Raw genomic sequence first — 18,338 nt, 5'->3', positions numbered from 1 at the left:
AAACATGTCAAGATAATTTTTGTGTATACTGTGAATTAAGGGCCTAACTTCATTTTTTTTTTTTTTGCTTATGTACATCCAATCATTCTAGCACCATTTGTTGAAAAAGCTAATTTTTTATTGAATTCCCTTGACACTTTTGTCAAAAATGAATTAGCATAAATGTGGAGGTTTATTTCTAGATGCCCTATTCTGTTCCATTGATCTGTTTGTCTATTCTTGTGCTACTACCACACCCTCTAGGTTACTTTAGCTTTCTATTAAGTCTTGAAACCAGAGAGTGTTAGTCCTCCAACTTTTTCTGCTTTTTCAAAATAATGTGGCTATTCTAGGTCCTTTGCATTTCCATAGACATTCTAGGATTGCATTGTTCCTTTTTTTTTTTTTTTTTTTAATAGACAGGGTCTCACTCTGTTGCATAAGCTACAGTACAGTGGTGCAATCATAGCTCACTGCAGCCTCAAACTCCTGGGCTCAAGTGATCCTTCACCTCAGCTTCTCCAGTAGGTAGGACTACAGGCACATGCCACTGTACCTGGCTTTTTAAATTTTCTTTTAGTGATGAAGCCTCACTGTGTTTCCCAGGGGTGTCTAGAGCTCCTGGGCTCACGCAATCCTCCTGCCTCTACCCGCCAAAGTTGGGATTACAGGAATGAGTCACTGTGCCTGGCCTAGGATTGCCTTTTTAATTATTTTGTTACATAAAAGGCCTGCTGAGATTTGGGTGTTTCATTGCATCTATAGAGCTATTTGTGGAAAATTGCCAACATTGAACCTTTTAATTCATAAAGATAGTATATCTCTTCACTTATTTGGATCTTTAATTTCTCTCAGAAACAGTTTGTAGTTTTCAATGTACAGATCTTGTACTTTTGTTCAATTTATTTCTAGCTATTTTATTCTTGTTGATGTTATTGTCAATGGAATTGTTTTATGTCTTTTCAGGTTGTTTATTGCTAATATATAGAAATGCATTTGTTTTTCATTTTTTATTTCGTACACTGCAATTTTATTAAACTGACTCTTTAAGTCTGGAGGCTTTTTGTAGACTCCATAATATATTCTATGTAGTTATTATACCATCTGGTAATAAAGACAGTTTTACTTCTTCCTTTCCAATTTGTATGCCTTTGACTTCTTTTCCTTGCCTTATTACACTAGCTTGAACTTCCCAGAATAATATTGAGTGCAAGAGAGGTGAGCAGACATCCCTACCTTGTTACCAGTTTTAGAAACTGTTAGTCTTGCATCATTACATCTGATTTTAGGACAGGATTTTTATATGCCCTTTATCAGGTTGAGAAAGTTGTCTTCTATTCTTGGTTTGCTGGAAATTTAAATAATCAATAGGTCTTGGTTTTTATCAAATGTTTTTGCTGCAGCTATTGGGATGATCTGGTAGTTTTTGTCCTTTATTAATAATGGTATATTACATAACACGATTTTTAGTTATTGAACTAATTTAATGTTCCTGGGATAACAACCCTACTTGATCATGGTATATAACTCTTTTTGTATGTTGCTGAATTTTGTTTGCTCATATTTTGTTAAAGATTTTTTAATCTGTTTGGGGGAAGATTTTTCTGTTGTTTTCTTTTCATGTGATATATTTCTCTGGCTTTGGTGTCAGGATAATAGTGGCTTCATAAAATGAGTAGGAAAGTGTTCCCTCTCCTCTAACTTCTGAAACAGTTTGTGTAGGATTGATATTATTTCTTCCTTAAAAGTCTGATAGAATTCACCAGTGAAGTCATCTAGTCTGAGCTTTTATTTGTAGGAAGGTTTTTAGTTATTAATTCCATTTCTTTTCTTGATTTAATGTTTTCTTCTTAAATCAGTTTTGGTAATTTATGTATTTCTAGAAATTTTTATAATTCATCTAAGTTGTTGAATTAGCATAAAGTTTTTAATAAAATTTTATGTAATTCCTTTTTAAGAACTAACTTTTGAAATTGCTGATTTTCTGTTTTCCGTTTCAACATTTTACACACTGGTAGTTAATAGTTTTTTCTCTCCAGCTTACTTCGTGTTTGATTTACTTTTCCTTTTCTGTCTTCTTGAGGTGGAAGCTTAGAGGATTAATGATTCCATTTCTTTCTAACGAAATCACTTAAAACTATAAATTTCACTCCAACTACTTCTTTAGCTAAATTCCATAAATTTTACTATGTTGTGTTTCCCTTTTTCACTCCGTCTAAGATATTTATTTCCCTTGTAATTTCTTTTTTGACCTATAGGTTACTTAGAAAACTGTGTATTATCCCAACATTTGGAATTTCCCAAATCTTTTTCTATTGTTGATTTCTAATAATTTCATTGTCGAAGAGAACATGTTTTGTATGATTTTGGTCCTGTTGAGTACATTACAGTTGTATATGTCCTAGTGCCTTGCTGTTTTTTAATATTCATTTATTTTGGAGGGTTTTATATATTAGTTCAGAAATACATCTTGTTTTTAATACTTAATCAGATTCCCACTAAAGCTAATGGATATTGTTGCTTTCAGGCTTTTTCTATTAGAAAAACAGTGTATCTTTTAAGTCTATTTTTAATTGACAATAATTATACATATTTATGGGGTATATGATGTTTCAACACATGTATATGCTGTATAAGTATCAAATCAGGGTAAGTAAATCCATCACCTCAAGCATTTATCATTTCTTTGTGGTGAAAACATTCAAAATCCTCTATCTACTTTGAAATATACTATACATTATTGGTAACTATAGTCAACCTAATGTGCAATAGGACACAGGAACTATTTTCTCCTAACAGTAACTTCGTATCCTTTGTACAATTTCCCCCTACCCCTCCTTCCCACTACCCTCCCCAGCCACTGCTATCCACTATTTTATTCTCTATTTCTATGAGATGAACTCTTTTATATTCTGCATATAAGTGAGATCGTGCAGTATTTGTCTTTCTGGGCCTGGCATACTTAATGTAATGTCCTCCAGGTTTATTCATGTTGTTGCAAATGACAGGATTTCATTCTCTTTTGTGGCTGAATAGTATTCCATTGTGTAGATTTACCACATTTTCTTTAACCATTCATCCATTGATGGACACTTGGGTTGGCTCCATATCTTGGCTATTGCGAATAGTACTTCAATAAATATAGGAGTGAAGATAACTTTGTGACATATTCATTTTATTTTCTTCAGATATATACCCAGTAGAATTACTGATCATGTAGTAGTTCTATTTTTAATATTTTGAGGAACTTCCATACTGTTTTCTGTAATGGCTATACTAATTTACATTGCCATCCACAGTGTGCAAGGGTTCCCTTTTCTCCACATCCTCGCCGACACTTGTTATCTTTTGTCTTTTTGCTAATAGCTATCTTAACACATTGAGGTGATATCACACTGTGGTTTTGATTTGTATTTCCCTGATAATTAGTGATGGTGAGCAATTTTTCATATAACTGTTAGCCATTCGTATGTCTTTTGAGGAATGTCTACTCAGCTCTTTCGCACTTTTTTTTTATTATTTTTTTTTAGCTGTTAAGCTGTTTGAGTTCCTTGTATATTTTGGATATTAACTTCTTGTCAGATGAGTAGTTTGCAAATATTTTCTCCTATTTTGTAGGTTTTCTCCTATTTTGGAGGTTGTTGATTGTTCTTTTTCAGTATGGAATCTTTTTAATTGGATGTAATCCCATTTGTCTGCTTTTTTATTGCCTGTGCTTTTGAGGCATATCCAAAAAACCATTGTCCAAGCCAATATCATGAAGTATCTCCACATGTTTTACTATAGTACCTTTATAGTTTTGGATCTTACGTTTAAGTTTTTAATGCATTTTGATTTGATTTTTGAGAGAGACAGAAGTCTAGTTTTATTTCCAATTTTCACAGCACCATTTATAAAGCTATGCTTTCCCCAATGAATCTATTTTATCTAAGTATAGCCACTCCTACTCTTTTGTTTACTGTTTGCCTGGAATATCTTCTTCTATCCCTTTATTTTCAGCCTCTGTGTGTCCTTAAGGTTAATGTGAGTCTCTTGTAAGCAGCATATAGTTGGATCTTGTTTTTTAAACTATTCAGCAAATCTGTGTCTTTTGATTGGAGATTTCAATCCATTTACATTCAAAGTATTTATTGATAGATAAGGACTTACTACTGATGTTTTGTTAATGGTTCATAGTAGAGATATCTATGATTTACAGAGCAACATAACAGTATTGAATTATTCTGGATTTGATATATTTGCCCTTATCAGTGAATGTTGTACTTTCATATGCTTTCATTTCTACTTGAAGAACTCCCTTAAGCATTTGATGTAAGGCAGATGTAGGGGAATGATTTCCCTCAACTTTTGCTTGTTCAGGAAAGACTTTCAGCACTTTCAATATCATCCCCTTCTTTCTTAGACTCCAGGGTTTCTGCTGAGACATCTGTTCATAGTCTAATGGTAGTTCCCTTGTGTATGACTTGACATTTTTCTCATTGCTGCTTTTTAAATTCTTACTTTTTCTTTTGACTTTTGACCATTTAATTGCACTTTGTCTCAGTGAGGACCTCTCTAGGTTGAGTTTGTTTGGGAACCTGTAAGCTTCATTAATCTGGATGTTTTTATCTCTTCCAAGACTTGGGAAGTTTTCACCAACTATTTTATAATTACAGATAAGCTTTCTGTCCCTATCTTTGTCACTTCTTTTTCTGAAACTCTCATAATACAAATGTTTTCTCATTTAATGGTATCCCAGGACTCCCATAGGCTGTTTTCACTTTTTTATTGTTTTGGGTTTTTGTTTTTGTTTTCCCCTCTGATTGGGTAATTTCAAAAGATCTAGATCTATCTTCAAGTTCAGAGATTCTTTCTTCTGCTTAATCTAGTCTGCTACTGAAGCTCTGTATTGTATGTTTTTAATTTCATTCATGAAATTCTTCAGCTCCAAGATTTCTATTGGTTCTTTTTTAGATATCCATCTCTTTGTTAAATTTCTCTTTGAGATCATGAACTGTTTCTCTGATTTTTTTCAACTGTCTATCTGTATTCTCTTGTATCTCACTGAGTTTGCTTAAAGCCCATTATTTTTAATTCCTTTTCAGACAATTTATAAATTTCCCTTTTTCTGGAGGTTAGTTACAGAGTTATTGTGTTCCTTTGGTAGGGTCATATTTTCACCTCCAAACAAGTCTTAGTATGCCGGCTGAAAAAGATGTAGTGGCTGGTTCCAAGTATATTCAGTGGTATAGTCTTTGCACAGATTCTTCAGCTGCAATTAACATTTGCGATGATGTCTCAGCAGCCTAGGCTATAGGAGTTTGTGGCAACAGCAGTGGCAGCATAGATTGCTGGGGTTCTTGGTGGCAAGAGTTTTGAGACTGTCCTGATCATGTTTTCTCCACAATGGGCAGACTTAGCTGAATGAATCCCTCTTGGTGTTGGGTCTAACATGGTCAATATGCAGCTGCAGCATATGCAGCTGCAGCAGCACTGGGCTCCAGGACACAGGTGTCAGAGCAGCTGTGAAACTGAGGTCCGGGGTTCAAGATCTTGCCAACCTATTGTAACAACTGGGTCTTGTGCTATAGGTTTACTCTCTGAGGCAGAGTTGGATAGAGATTGCCCACAGAGCCAGGATCTGTGACTCTGAGGCAACCTCCAGGAGCTTAGGCCCAGGGGGCCAGCTTGTAGCTATGTCTCTGACCCTGAGGGCAGGGCACGGCACTGGCCTGGCTCCAGAAAAGAAGGGGTGCTATGGAGATTTGGGCCTGGTGAGCAGGATACAGCTGCAATTTGTGAACCAGAGCCAATACGACATAGCGTCAAGTCAGATCGTGGGGGATGAGACACTATTTAGTGGTGACTTTGGACCCTGAGGTGGTGGAACACAGCAGCATCCCAGACTTGGTCAGGTGCAGCAGCCAGAACCCTAGAATAGCAGAGTGCAGCAATTGCTTAGGCTCTGGTGGGACAGGGAGCAGCACAGAGATGACTTTACTCCCCAGTGAAGGGTTTGTCTCAGCAGCTCAGACTCTAAGGGGCTGGTTTGACTCCAGGGAAGGAGGGTACTAGTTGTTTTGCGTGCGGGCCAGGGTGTCTCAGCCCAACCAATGCTGTTTCTCTGGGATGCAGGGTTTCTATCAGCTCAGCCCAGGGATGCATGGCTGCTCAGCTTCACCAGGGCACTAATTCCTTTGGAGGCAATGTGCTGCTTCAGCTCAGTCCCAGGAGGTGTGACTGCTCTCAGTGGCCAAGACATCATTTCCCAGGAGGCAGGGCACATCTTCAACTCAGGCACTGGTGGGACATGACTCCTCTGGACAGCCAAGACACTGTTTCCCCAGGATGCTGGGCACTATTTCAGCTCAGACATGGGGGAGCTGGATGTAGCAGTTACTGGGAGGTGTAGATGAAGCTGTGTTGTTAATCCACTGTTTCCTTGGGAGGCAGTGCACAGCTTTATTTTGGGCCCTGATTGACAAGATGCAGCAACCACTGGGAGGGGTAGATAGAGCAGCTCTACAGCAGCTTGGCCTCACAGGGTAGGGTATGGTAGCAGCTCCGCTCAGGGATGGTGAACCACTGAACAGGGGTGGCTCCATGGTGGCTAAGCCCTTAGGCATGGGAGGGTGCCATGGCCACTCACCCCGAGAGCAGGACATAACCTAGCAGTAGTTCTGATTCCAAGATGGCAAAGCACAGTAGCCGTGTGGGTCACAGGGGGCAAGGCACCGTGTCGGCTTCTTTTCTGGAGGGAGCATGGCTGTGTGGACTCCTGACACCTCCTTCAGCTGGGTTCAGTGTCTGTGAGGACTGCAGGAGTCCCCAGTGGTGAGGACTGCAGGTGTCCAAGGTGTTGATGGGGGGATGCTGGGGTCCACCTGCTTACCTTTTCCTCACAGGGAGAAGTCCCTCCTGGTTCTGAGCTGAGCCCAGCTGGGAGGTGAGGTGGTGGAGGCCAGGGGTTTCCTTCCATCCTCTCTGGGGCCATCCTAGATTTCTGTGCTCTACAGGGTTTCTGCCACTCCTTTGATGTGCACTAGTGCTCTCCTTTAGTTATTTTCATCAAAATGTAATTACTTATCTGTTGTTTGGACTGTCCTTGTGGGGTAGGGACAAGTGCTAAGGGTTTCTAGTTGGCCATCTTGCCCCTTTCTCAGTTTCAACAAATACTTTTTGAATGCCCACAATGTGCTAGGCGCTTTTTTAGCACTAGAGATAAAGCAATAAACAAAGCCAATCATGTCCTTTTCCTCATGGAATTGATATTATTAGAGACAGACCAAAAAATAAATAACATAAATATGTCCTTAGTTTGTTTTTTACATTTATATCTCCTATCCCCCTGGAGTTTTATCCTTGAATATCTATCTTCTGCCCAGCTCCTTTACTGAGTTATCTTAGTGTTTCTCGTAATTTTTTCAGTTCATTTCATGGTGTTGTATTTGGGGGCATACACGCGTACCACCTACAAATAACAATCGCTTTGCCTCCTCCTTTCTTATTTGCATACCTTTGATTTGTGTTATTATATACATGTCACTGTTAATAGTGAGGATTATGGAAATTTCTATCCATTTCCTGACTTAAATGGAAAGTCTCATTTTACACTCTTAAATACAATACTGGCCTTCCATTTAAGATTAATATTTGCCATGCTAAGGAAATACCCCTCAATTCCCATTTCATTCAGAATCTGCATCAAAAATGGGTAATAAATTTTATACAAAGCTTTTTTTTTTGCCATCTTTGGAGATGATTATTATTTTCTCCTTTGACTTATCACTATGATGAGTTGCATTAAGGGACTCATTAGCATTAAGCTATCCTTTCATTCCTGGAATAAACTATGTTCAATCATATTATGCTTATAATACACTCCTAAATTCTATTTGTTTACATATAATTTTGCATCAACTTTAAATGACATTGGCCTAAAATTTCCTTTTTGTTATATTTTTTACCATCACATTTTACTATTAAAGTTATGCTGATGTCTTAAAAGCAATCAATATACTTTCTCTGCTGAGAAATAATTTAATTATCTTCAAAGTTATCTATTCCTTGCAGATATAATATACATCTTTGCAATTATCTAGTTCTGGTGTGTTAGGTTTTGTTTTTTGTTTAATTTGGTTTGGTTTGGTGGGAGGAAGGGTACCCTTTTAGAACTTTTCAATTTCTTCCATAGTAATTAATTTTTTTTAGAGTTTCTGTCTTGCCAGGGCTCAGTTTTTACAATGCATGTTATCCTACAAATTGTCTCTTTTATTCAGGTTTTCAAAAGTATTTAAATAGAATTAAAATCAAATATTCTCCATTTTTCTTCCAGTTTCCACTTTACCTGAGAGTAGTTCTATTACTCCCATTTCTTTTTCTTTTTTTTTTTTTTTTTTTTTTTTTTAATTTAAATAGAGATGAGGTCTTGCTATGTTGACCAGGCTGGTCTCAAACTCCTGGCCTCAAGCGATCCTCCCATCTTGGCCTCCAAAAGTGCTGTGATTCCAGGTGTGAGCCACCATGCCTGGCCCTTATTTCTTATTAGTGCTTTTTCTTAATTAGGTTGGCTGGTAGTTTTTCTATTTTAATGGCTCAAGAAACATACTAATTTATTTATAAATAATTTATTGGCTGATGCCCAGCCTAGTGTAGAGGAGGGAATAATTACACTTTGCTCAAGGACACTGTTGTTTGGGGTCTGGAATATGACAAACCCAGAGTGATTGCCATAATCAAGCCTTATTATATATTTTATTCATATTTATATTAAAATGCAACAAAGTCTTCTGCTTAATTTGTGAGCTTCCTGTTAATTTCAGTTGACCCGTTTTTGAAAACTTTTCTTCCTAGTTCTATAAAACATGATCCCCCAAAGTTTTCACTAGATCAGTATATTCTCTTATGCTGACAATATATTAACTAGTATGGATAATACACATCTTTTTTTTACATTCAAAGAGAATTCAGAGTATTTAAGAGGTATCATAGACTATATCATAGCTTTGAGTGAAAAGCAGAAAATTAAGAACCCAGAGAATTGTGTTTTTGCTTTAAAATTTTAAAAAGCATAATAGAGAAAACTACTGTACCACGATTTTTAAACTGCACAGATAAAACATTAAAAGTAAAGCTAGAAGTATTAATATAACAGTGCTAATACTTTTTTCTAAAAAATATTCACAAGTTGCTTTGAATTTACAGAAAAAATGTGCAAGTATAATATACATAACACCATATACGGTTTACCCACATTGCTATTAACATTTTGCCCCATTTGTTTTATAAGAGAGAGAGAGAGAGAGTGTGTGTGTGTGTGTGTGTGTGTGTGTGTGTGTGTGTGTGTGTGTATCTGAACCATTTGAGGGTAGGTTGCATATATCATGTTCCTTTACCCCCAAATATTTTAGAGGTTGTTTCATGTTGCTACTTGTTTGGAGAAATACTTAAGCAGCTAGTTAGGTAATGCTATAAAAGATACCTTATATTTATTTATTTATTTTGAGACAGGGTCTCACTCTGTCACCCAGGCTGGAATGCAGTGGCACAATCACAGTTCACTGCTGCCTTGACCTCCTGGGCTCAAGCGATCCCCCCACCTCAGCCTTTCAAGTAGCTGGGACCACAGGCATATGGCACCATGCCTGGCTAATTTTTGTATTTTTTGTAACATTACAACATGTTGCTCAGGTTGGTCTTGAACTCCTTAGCTCAAGCAGTCCACCTTCCTCAGCCTCCCAAAGTGCTGGGATTACAGGCATGAGCTACCATACCTGGCCAAAGATAAAGAATCACTTACAATTTAAAAACCACCATGACCACAACAACAAAAGACTTAAGAAGTTATCAAAACAGATTTAAGCTATGAAAGAGAATAGCTATCACTGATAAAGATCTAATATAGAAACGTTACTGAGAGAGAAAAGCACCAGGTATTTGAAAAGATTTGTATCCAGGGAGATTAGGAGAAAATCAAAGTGGATATTCCACATTCAATTATTATATAATCCAACTTTCCATTTGAAGTCAGCAGCAAAAAAGCATATATGACAGAGCAAACTAAGTCACAAATCCACAGCATGAGTTGTGAATGACATGACATACTGGCTACTGTATTAACAAATACACCATGAAGTCTTAGCGACTTAATAAAAGTTTATTTCTCACTCACATAAGTTGCAGTGCATGTGTTCCTGAATGGCAGATCTCCTGAGCACCTCCCCTCCATGCAGTGGCTCAGGGAACCAGGCTTTCTTCTGGTGAAGATTCATGCCCTAGGACCTTCGCATCCCTCTCTGGGTCCTCTCTCTAACTCACAGCTAAAATAAGACCAAAAGTGCAAAGTGTCATGCAAGAGGCTTTAGGAGCCAGCCCAGGAAGGGGTGGTGTACCTCACTTTCTGCCACATTCAATTGGCCAGAACTCAGTTCTAGTTCCCACTGGTCATAAGAGACTGGGAAAGGTAGTACACGTTCTTGTGTGTCCAGGAATTAAAAAATGGTTTGTGGTCAAACATGTGGTAGACATTCTGCCCTTGCTATTCCTTATGTGCTGTCTATACCCTGACCTGCACATCAAGGATATATAACTATTGATCATGTCACGTCATCAGGTGATCAGGTGAAATCTTTTTTTTTTTTTGAGACGGGTTCTCGCTCTGTCGTCCAGGCTGGAGTGCAGTGGCATGATCTCGGCTCACTGCAGCCTCCACCTCCTGGGTTCAAGTGATTCTCCTGCCTCAGCCTCCCGAGAAGCTGGGATTACAGGTGCACACCACCACACCCTGCTAATTTTTTTTATTAGTAGTAGAGACAGGGTTTCACCATGTTGGCCAGGCTGGTCTCGAACTCCTGACCTCAAGTGATTCACCCACCTCACCCTCCCAAAGTGTAGGGATTACAGGCGTGAGCCACTGCACCTGGCCATGAAATCTTTTTTCTAACATGATATAGTGATGTGATTTATTCTAGCTTTGTGAGGTATACTCAAGCCACTGGTATATGTATTAAAATTCACAAGGTATCCTAACAGACTGAGAGTTAATAATTGACCCAATTTCAGTGTGTCTATGCAAAGAGATTAGCAATTTGGGGGCCCCCCAAATGTGAGAAATCTGAGTAAATATCAATGACAAGATACCCCATCCTAAGCATAGAAAATGCCATGCATTTTACAAGACATACACCAAATGGGGATATTGATGCACAAACAACACTTAGCATGAAAGAGACAGAATTCTGGGAATCTTGTAGAGTTATTGTCACACCATTTAGAAGTAGCAGAAACAGAACTCACACCTGAATCTTCTGACTGTAATTGTAGCGAGTTTTTATATTTTGTCAGTTTCCCAAAATTTTATCTTTTAAAAAAAGACTTTGATTTTGATGGCTTCTGCTTGGCTCTGCAGGACTTATTCATTCATTTAATAAGTATTTACTTAGGGCTAACTGTGTGCCCAGCACTAGTCTAGGTGCTGGAAATACGGCAATGAGCAAAACAAAGTCCCTGCCTCAAGAAGTTTGCCTCCTAGGAGGAAATTAGACAATAAACACAGTAATACATACTAGGGATGAGAATGAAGAAAAACTGAGAAACAGGGTCAGACAAAGGAAAGTGATGGGCAAGGAAGACAGTTCTTTTTTTTCCAAATTTATTTTTAAAATTGACATAAAATTATATGTGTTTATTGTGTACATGATGTTTTGAATACCTAGCTAATATATGTACTAATGTTAAATCTAGCTAATATATGCATTATCTCACATAATTATTTTTGTGATGAGAACATTTAATGTCCACTCTTAGCATTTTTCAAGAATATGGTATATCATCATCAACTATAATCACCATGCTGCACAATAGATCTCTTGAACTTATTCTTCCTGTGATGGTTTTATCCTTTAGCTAACATCTCCCCAACTCCTCCCAGCCCCACAACCATCCCAGCCTCTGGGAACCACCATTCTACTTTCTACTTCTATGAAATCAACTTTTTTAGATTCCACATGAGTAAGATCATGCAGTATTTGCCTTTCTATGCCTGGCTTATTTCACTTACCAAAATATGCTTTAGTTCACCCACGCTGTTGCAAATGACAGGACTTTATTCTTTTTTATGGCTGAATACCATTCCATTATATAGATATAACACATTTTCTTTATCCATTGATTCCCTGCCTTGGCTATTATGAGTAGTGCTTCAATAAACATGGGAGTGCACCACATACACCATGGAATACTATGCAGCCATAAAAAAGGATGAGTTCATGTCCTTTGCAGGGACATGGATGAAGCTGGAAACCATCATTCTCAGCAAACTATCACAAAGACAGAAAACCAAACACCACATGTTCTCACTCATAGGTGGGAACTGAACAAGGAGATCACTTGGACACAGGGCAGGGAACATCACACACTGGGGCCTATCAGGGGGCAGGAGGCTGAAGGAGGGATAGCATTAGGAGAAATACCTAACGTAAATGACGAGTTGATGGGTGCAGCAAACCAACATGGCACATGTACACCTATGTAACAAACCTGCACGTTGTGCACATGTACCCTAGAACTTAAAGTATTAAAAAAAAAAGTTCTAGGAAACAAATAGAAAAAAAAATAAACATGGGAGTGCACGCATCTCTTCAACATATTTGTTTCATTTCCTTCAGATATATACCTAGTGGTGGAATTACTGATCATATAGATCTATCTTTGATATTTTGAGAAACCTCCATGCTGTTTTCCATAATGGCTATACTAATTTACATTGCCATCAACAGTGTGCAAGGGTTCCCTTTTCTCCACATCCTCTCCAACACCTGTTATCTTTTGTCTTTTTCCTAATAACTATTCTAACAGGAGCGAGGCGATACTGCCTTGTGGTTTTGATTTGCATTTCCCTGATGATTAGTGATGTTGAGCAATTTCCATATACTTGTTGGCCATTTGTATATCTTTTTGTGATAAATACCTACTCAGGCATTTGCCTATTTTTTGATCAGGTTATTTTTTTCTTGCTATTGAGTTATTTGAGTTCCTTATATATTTTAGATATTAACCCTTTATCCATGTACAGTTTACAAATATTTTCTTCCATTCTTCATGTTGTCACTTCATTGTGTCAATTGTTTCCTCTTCTGCACAGAAGTTTGTTAGTTTGATATAACCCTATTTGTCTAGTTTTGCTTCTGTTACTTGGGTTTTTGAGGTCATGTTGAAAAATCACTGCCCAGACCAATGTCATAAAGCTTTTCCCCTATGTTTTCTTCTATTAGTTTTATAGTTTCAGGTTTTACATTTAAGTCTTTGAGCCATTTTGAGTTGATATTTGTATATGGTGAGAGATATAATCTAATTTCATCCTTCTGCATGGGGATATTCAGTTTTACCAACACCATTTACTGAACTTTCCTTTCTCCATTGTATTTTCCTGGAAACTTTGTCAGACAGTTCTCCTTTAGAAAGAGTGGCCAGGGAAAGACATCTGTGTAGAAATCTAAAGAAAGTGAGTGAGCAAGCTGTAGAGATATCCAGGATAGAATTGCCCATGCAAGCAGAAGATTTTGAGGCAGGGCTGTGCTTGATGCAGACAAGCCATGACAAGGAGCTAAGTTGGCTAAAGCTAAGTGAGGAAGAGATGGAATGGTAGAAGAGGTCCAAGAGATTGTTGGAGGTGGAGGGAGGCAAGTAATGTGGAATCTTGTGTAGCCATGGGCCAGAGAAAGGACTTTGGGTTTCACTTTTGAATGAAACGAGTTTCTGAGTGTCTGAGCAGAGGAGTGATAGGACATAACATTTTTAAAGGCTCGTGCTAGCTGCTGTGTTGAGAATAGACTGTTGGTGAGCAAGGATGGAAACAGGCAGGCAGGCAAGCTGGCTTCCACTGCAGTCCAAACTAGATGAAGAAAGCTTGGAGGAGGTTGGTTAGGAGTGGATGAGGTAAGAAATGGATTGTAAATATATTTTAAAAGCAGAGCCACAGGATTTACTGATGGACATGATGGGGGATATAAGAAAAAGAGAAAAATCAAAGATTTTTTTTTTGAGACAGGTTCTCGTTATTTTGCCCAGGCTAGCCTCGAACTCCTGGGCTCAAGTAATCCTCCCACCTCAGTCTCCCCAGTAGCTGGTACTACGGGCATGTACCACCACACCCAGAGGACTACAAAAATTTTAACCTAAAAAACCAGAACAAAGTTGCCCTTTATTTATATAATGACTATGATAGATGCATATGGTCACAGGAGACAGGATGGGGAACCGAGAATCCAGTCTGGGACATGTCAAGCTTGAGATGCCTTTAAGCCATCCACGTAGAGATGGCTGGTATGTGGGGAGTATGCCTAAAGCTGGGGACTGAATAAGAACATCTAGGAAATGAGTGCAAATAAAGAAGAGAAACATTCTGAGGACTAGGAACCTCCAATTTTAAATGTCAGGAAGGGGAAGAGTGACCAGCAAAAGGCCAAAAACACATAACTTGTGAGGAAGAAGAAAAACCATGTCCTAGTAGCCTTATGAAGGAAAGCATTTCAAGATGGAAGGTGTGAGCAGTTGTGCCAAGTGCTGAGTAAAATAGGACGGAGAAGGTAGCTTTGGATTTGGCAACAGGATCAAATATTTTGAGCTAACGTGACCACTCAAGTCAGTTGTAAGTAAACTCAATTTTTTAAAAAATGATTGACTAATTGGCAAGAAGTCAATATTAGTGTTTTGGTCACTTGAAAACAAAGCTTCTTTCATGTTCAAATTGGTAGAGTACATTTATTTGCATGTACTATGTTTTTATATATATTCAGGGATGAGGCGGAATACACATTGTCTCTTCATTATTATCCTGGGTGATCTTTATTTTCTCCCATTCAACTCATATGAGATCAACTTCTTATCACCAAAATTCCATGCACTGAGAAATCCATAAAAAAAATAAAAAGAACTAATATTCCTATTTGTGCCAATGTTAAGTGATGAAATGTTGTTGTTTGTGGTAAGTTTCAATAGAAGGAGCTATTGTTCTTAATATTTTAGACCTCATTCATTTGGAGCTTAGAGGCAGGGAAATTGCATTCATTGTATCGAGGAGATTCTTGGAGACAAATTACTTGTTTAGATTATCATAAAGCTCAAATACCATAAAAATAAAAAATTTTAAACTACAGTCCCTCTTTAATACAAAAAGAACCAGGACTAGAAGCCCAAAGCTCACCATTACACAATATATCCATATGACAAACCTGCACATGTACCCTCAAATCTAAAATGTAAAAATAAAATAACATAAAGCAACAAAAAGTACATTGTGCCATTCTAACCCCACCCTGCAAACACATATCACTTAAGTATTTGGATGAATATATCTATTTGTTTTATTTAAAAATATGTCTGTTGGCCATTTCTAAATACTGGTGAAAGAGGGACAGTAGAAGTGTGTTTACAGATGGTAAATCTATGTGTATAACAGGATGATATGGTTTGGCTGTGTCCCCACCCAAATCTCATCTTGAATTGTAGCTCCCATAATTCCCATGTGTTGTGGGAGGGACCTGGTGAGAGATAACTGAATCATGGGGTGGTTTCCCCCATGCTGTTCTTGTGATAGTAAGTCTCACGAGATCTGATGTTTTTATAAGGGGTTTCTGCTTTCCCTTGTTTCTTTTTCTTTCTTGCCTATTGCCATGTAAGACATGCCTTTCTCCTTCCACCATGATTGTGAGAGCTCCCCAGCCATGTGAAACTTTGAGTCCATTAAACCTCTTTTTCTTTATAAATTACCCAGTCTCAGGTATGTCTTTATTAGCAGCATGAGAACAGACTAATACACAGGATATAATTGTTAATTATCAATTTTGTATTAACCTGTTATTTACCTCAGTTTCTAATGTTATTTACCCCAGTTTCTAACACCTTAAATGCACACCTAAATGCATAAGGAACATGTTAACATTTACCTTCATCAGTTATCAGTATAAATGTAAGTAATTGTTCTAGTGGATATATACAGAAATGCCAATTCAGAGAAACTACTGTCTTTTAAATACCTTATTTAAAGTAGCTAATTTCCCTCAAGAACAAGGACTGTATCTCTCATACCAGTTTTTTCCTCGAGCTTGGCGTGCATATTTGTTGAATTATTTTATTCTGTTATGACACCAGGGAGAGAAGAACAGTCACAAAACAAAATCAGGAAGATGCATGTGTGAGTCAAATAATGCAGCTGAGTGTATAAAAATGAACAAAACTATTTTTCTACTGACTGTCTTCTGTCTGGGCTTTTCAAGCAACCTATCATCATTCGATTCTCTTTGGTCATGTACCAAGTCTTTGTTTAATTTGTCTATCTTCCTCCTCTTTGTTCATTCCATAAATGTGCCAGGTGCTGTTATAAATATGGGAACATCCAGTTAACAAGATAAGTTCTTGTTCTTATGGAGTTTAACACTAATGGGTAAGAACAGATTAACCCTATACATTAACCCACAAATTGTGCTAGTTTTATGACTGTAAATCCTTCCATACGACAGTGCCCTCACTCAGAAAAAAAAAAAAAAAAACATACAGTCTTACCTGAATTAGATAAGGAAAAACTCTTTTAACTGGAATCATAATACTAGATTTCTAGTATAATATGTGCTGCTAATTCACATGGTTACTTTGAGTATGTCACTTTTCTGGCCACCAACTACCCTTTGTTAAATTGAAGATAACCTGCAATGTCCATACTATGTAAAAAAAACCCCAGGGTTCTCAATGTTTCTGGATTCACAGGCTTAGTTACAATCGTCTATTTTATGAGTTGGGGGATCCAGAAGAAAGGAGTTGTAAAAAAAATAGAGTATTAGTCTGTTCTCACGCTGCTATAAAGAACTGCCCAAGACTGGGTAATTTATAAAGGAAAGAGGTTTAATTGACTCACGGTTCTGCAGGGCTGGAGATGCCTCAGGAAACTTACAATCATGGCAGAAGCGGGAGCAAACATGTCCTTCTTCACATGGCAGCAGGAGAGAGAAGTGCCAAGCAAAGGGGGAAAAGTCCCTCATAAAACCATCAGATCTCGTGAGAACTCACTATCACAAGAACAGCATGGGGGTAACAGTCCCCATGATTAAATTACTTCCCACTGGGTTCCTCCCACGACACGTGGAGATTATGGGAACTACAGTTCAAGATGAGACTTGGGTGGGGACACAGCCAAACCACATCAAACAGTTTGTTTACTATGTATTTTTCTATAAACCTATTTCCTGCCCCCTTCTAATCAACAGTAGTAATTTCCTTGAGCATGCAGCCCAAAATTTACTAACCTTAGATAAAACATGGCAGTAGCAAAATTTGGGATTTCAACAAATGTCAGAGGGAAGAAGAAAAAGTAGTAGTAATGGTTACAGCCAACAATTCTAAAGCTACAGGAGGATGGTCAAATTTACTATTATGTAAAATATGTTCAATCAGTTTATTCAAATTATTTTTAAGTGGAGGGAGGGAATCTTTCATTGGAGACTTTTTTAAAAAGCAAAACTCAAATCTAAAAATAACCAGTATACAATAAATTTGCCAAGTAAGTCTCAAATTCCCCTGGTTCTATAAATTTTAAAACTTAAATTAAAAAAAAATCACATTCCTCACTCTCTGCCACTATACTGTAATAAATTTTATTTTAGAAATTATGCTTGTCATGTCAAAAATGTGCTCTGCTGTTGGAGTGTTCGTTGCTTATGCATGAGAGCAGAAATTTAAATGGACTGGGTGCAATTAAAGTTATGTACAAGAGAATTCCAGATGGTGAACTGAAAATCTTGCCGTGAAGCCTGTTGAATCACAGTGCCTGCATGAGTTGGCTCTTACTTTTTGAATAAATGAACGAAATCACCTATAGCAGTATCTTGCTATAAAGCCTTATAAAGTCATGTTCATTTTTCATACTGTGGAATATGAAATATATTCATTATATTATATGAAATATAATGAATATGAAATATATTCATTATATTATATGAAATATAATGAATATGAAAAATATTCATTATATTATAATGAATATAAATTCTAACGAAAAGTGCAAATGGAAATAATTGCAGTTATTATACCACATTAATGAAAGTTATGCAGATTGCCCTAAAATTTAAAGAAAATGTATTATGTTGTGCCTCTCCTCCTAATTAACGTTATTTCATATTGTGTGGTACATTTATGGAGAATTTTTTAGTGCATTAGATAAATCAGTTTTGTATTTCCAGGAGAGTGGGTTGTAATGAGCATTACAATGCATTTCAGTTCAGAAGCAGTTTTATGTTACAAAGCATCTTCTGCTAGTAGATTGGAAAATGTTGCACCAAAGTGATACTTCCACTAAAAATCTGGAATACAATTTAACAAGGGAAGCATGG

The 18,338-nt window shown here is 37.3% G+C and overlaps 1 protein-coding gene across 15 annotated transcripts in view, besides 1 other annotated feature; it reads left to right on the top strand.

Moving 5' to 3' along the window:
* Positions 1 to 18,338, top strand: part of MAGI2 (membrane associated guanylate kinase, WW and PDZ domain containing 2) — a 1,436,613-nt gene that overhangs the window by 1,201,135 nt on the left and 217,140 nt on the right. The gene's annotated exons all lie outside the window — the stretch shown is intronic.
* Positions 5,287 to 6,223: an enhancer, noted in NCBI's record as "H3K27ac-H3K4me1 hESC enhancer chr7:77875627-77876563 (GRCh37/hg19 assembly coordinates)". NCBI's record gives its function as "activates a minimal SCP1, AML or CMV promoter by ChIP-STARR-seq in primed H9 embryonic stem cells {active_cell/tissue: H9 hESC(primed)}" and the evidence as "EXISTENCE:reporter gene assay evidence [ECO:0000049][PMID:30033119]".

Source organism: Homo sapiens, chromosome 7, assembly GCF_000001405.40.
Source record: "Homo sapiens chromosome 7, GRCh38.p14 Primary Assembly".
Classification (NCBI taxonomy): domain Eukaryota; kingdom Metazoa; phylum Chordata; class Mammalia; order Primates; family Hominidae; genus Homo; species Homo sapiens.
Note: the sequence above shows the minus strand (reverse complement) of the source record. Positions and strands in the feature narration are given on the sequence as shown.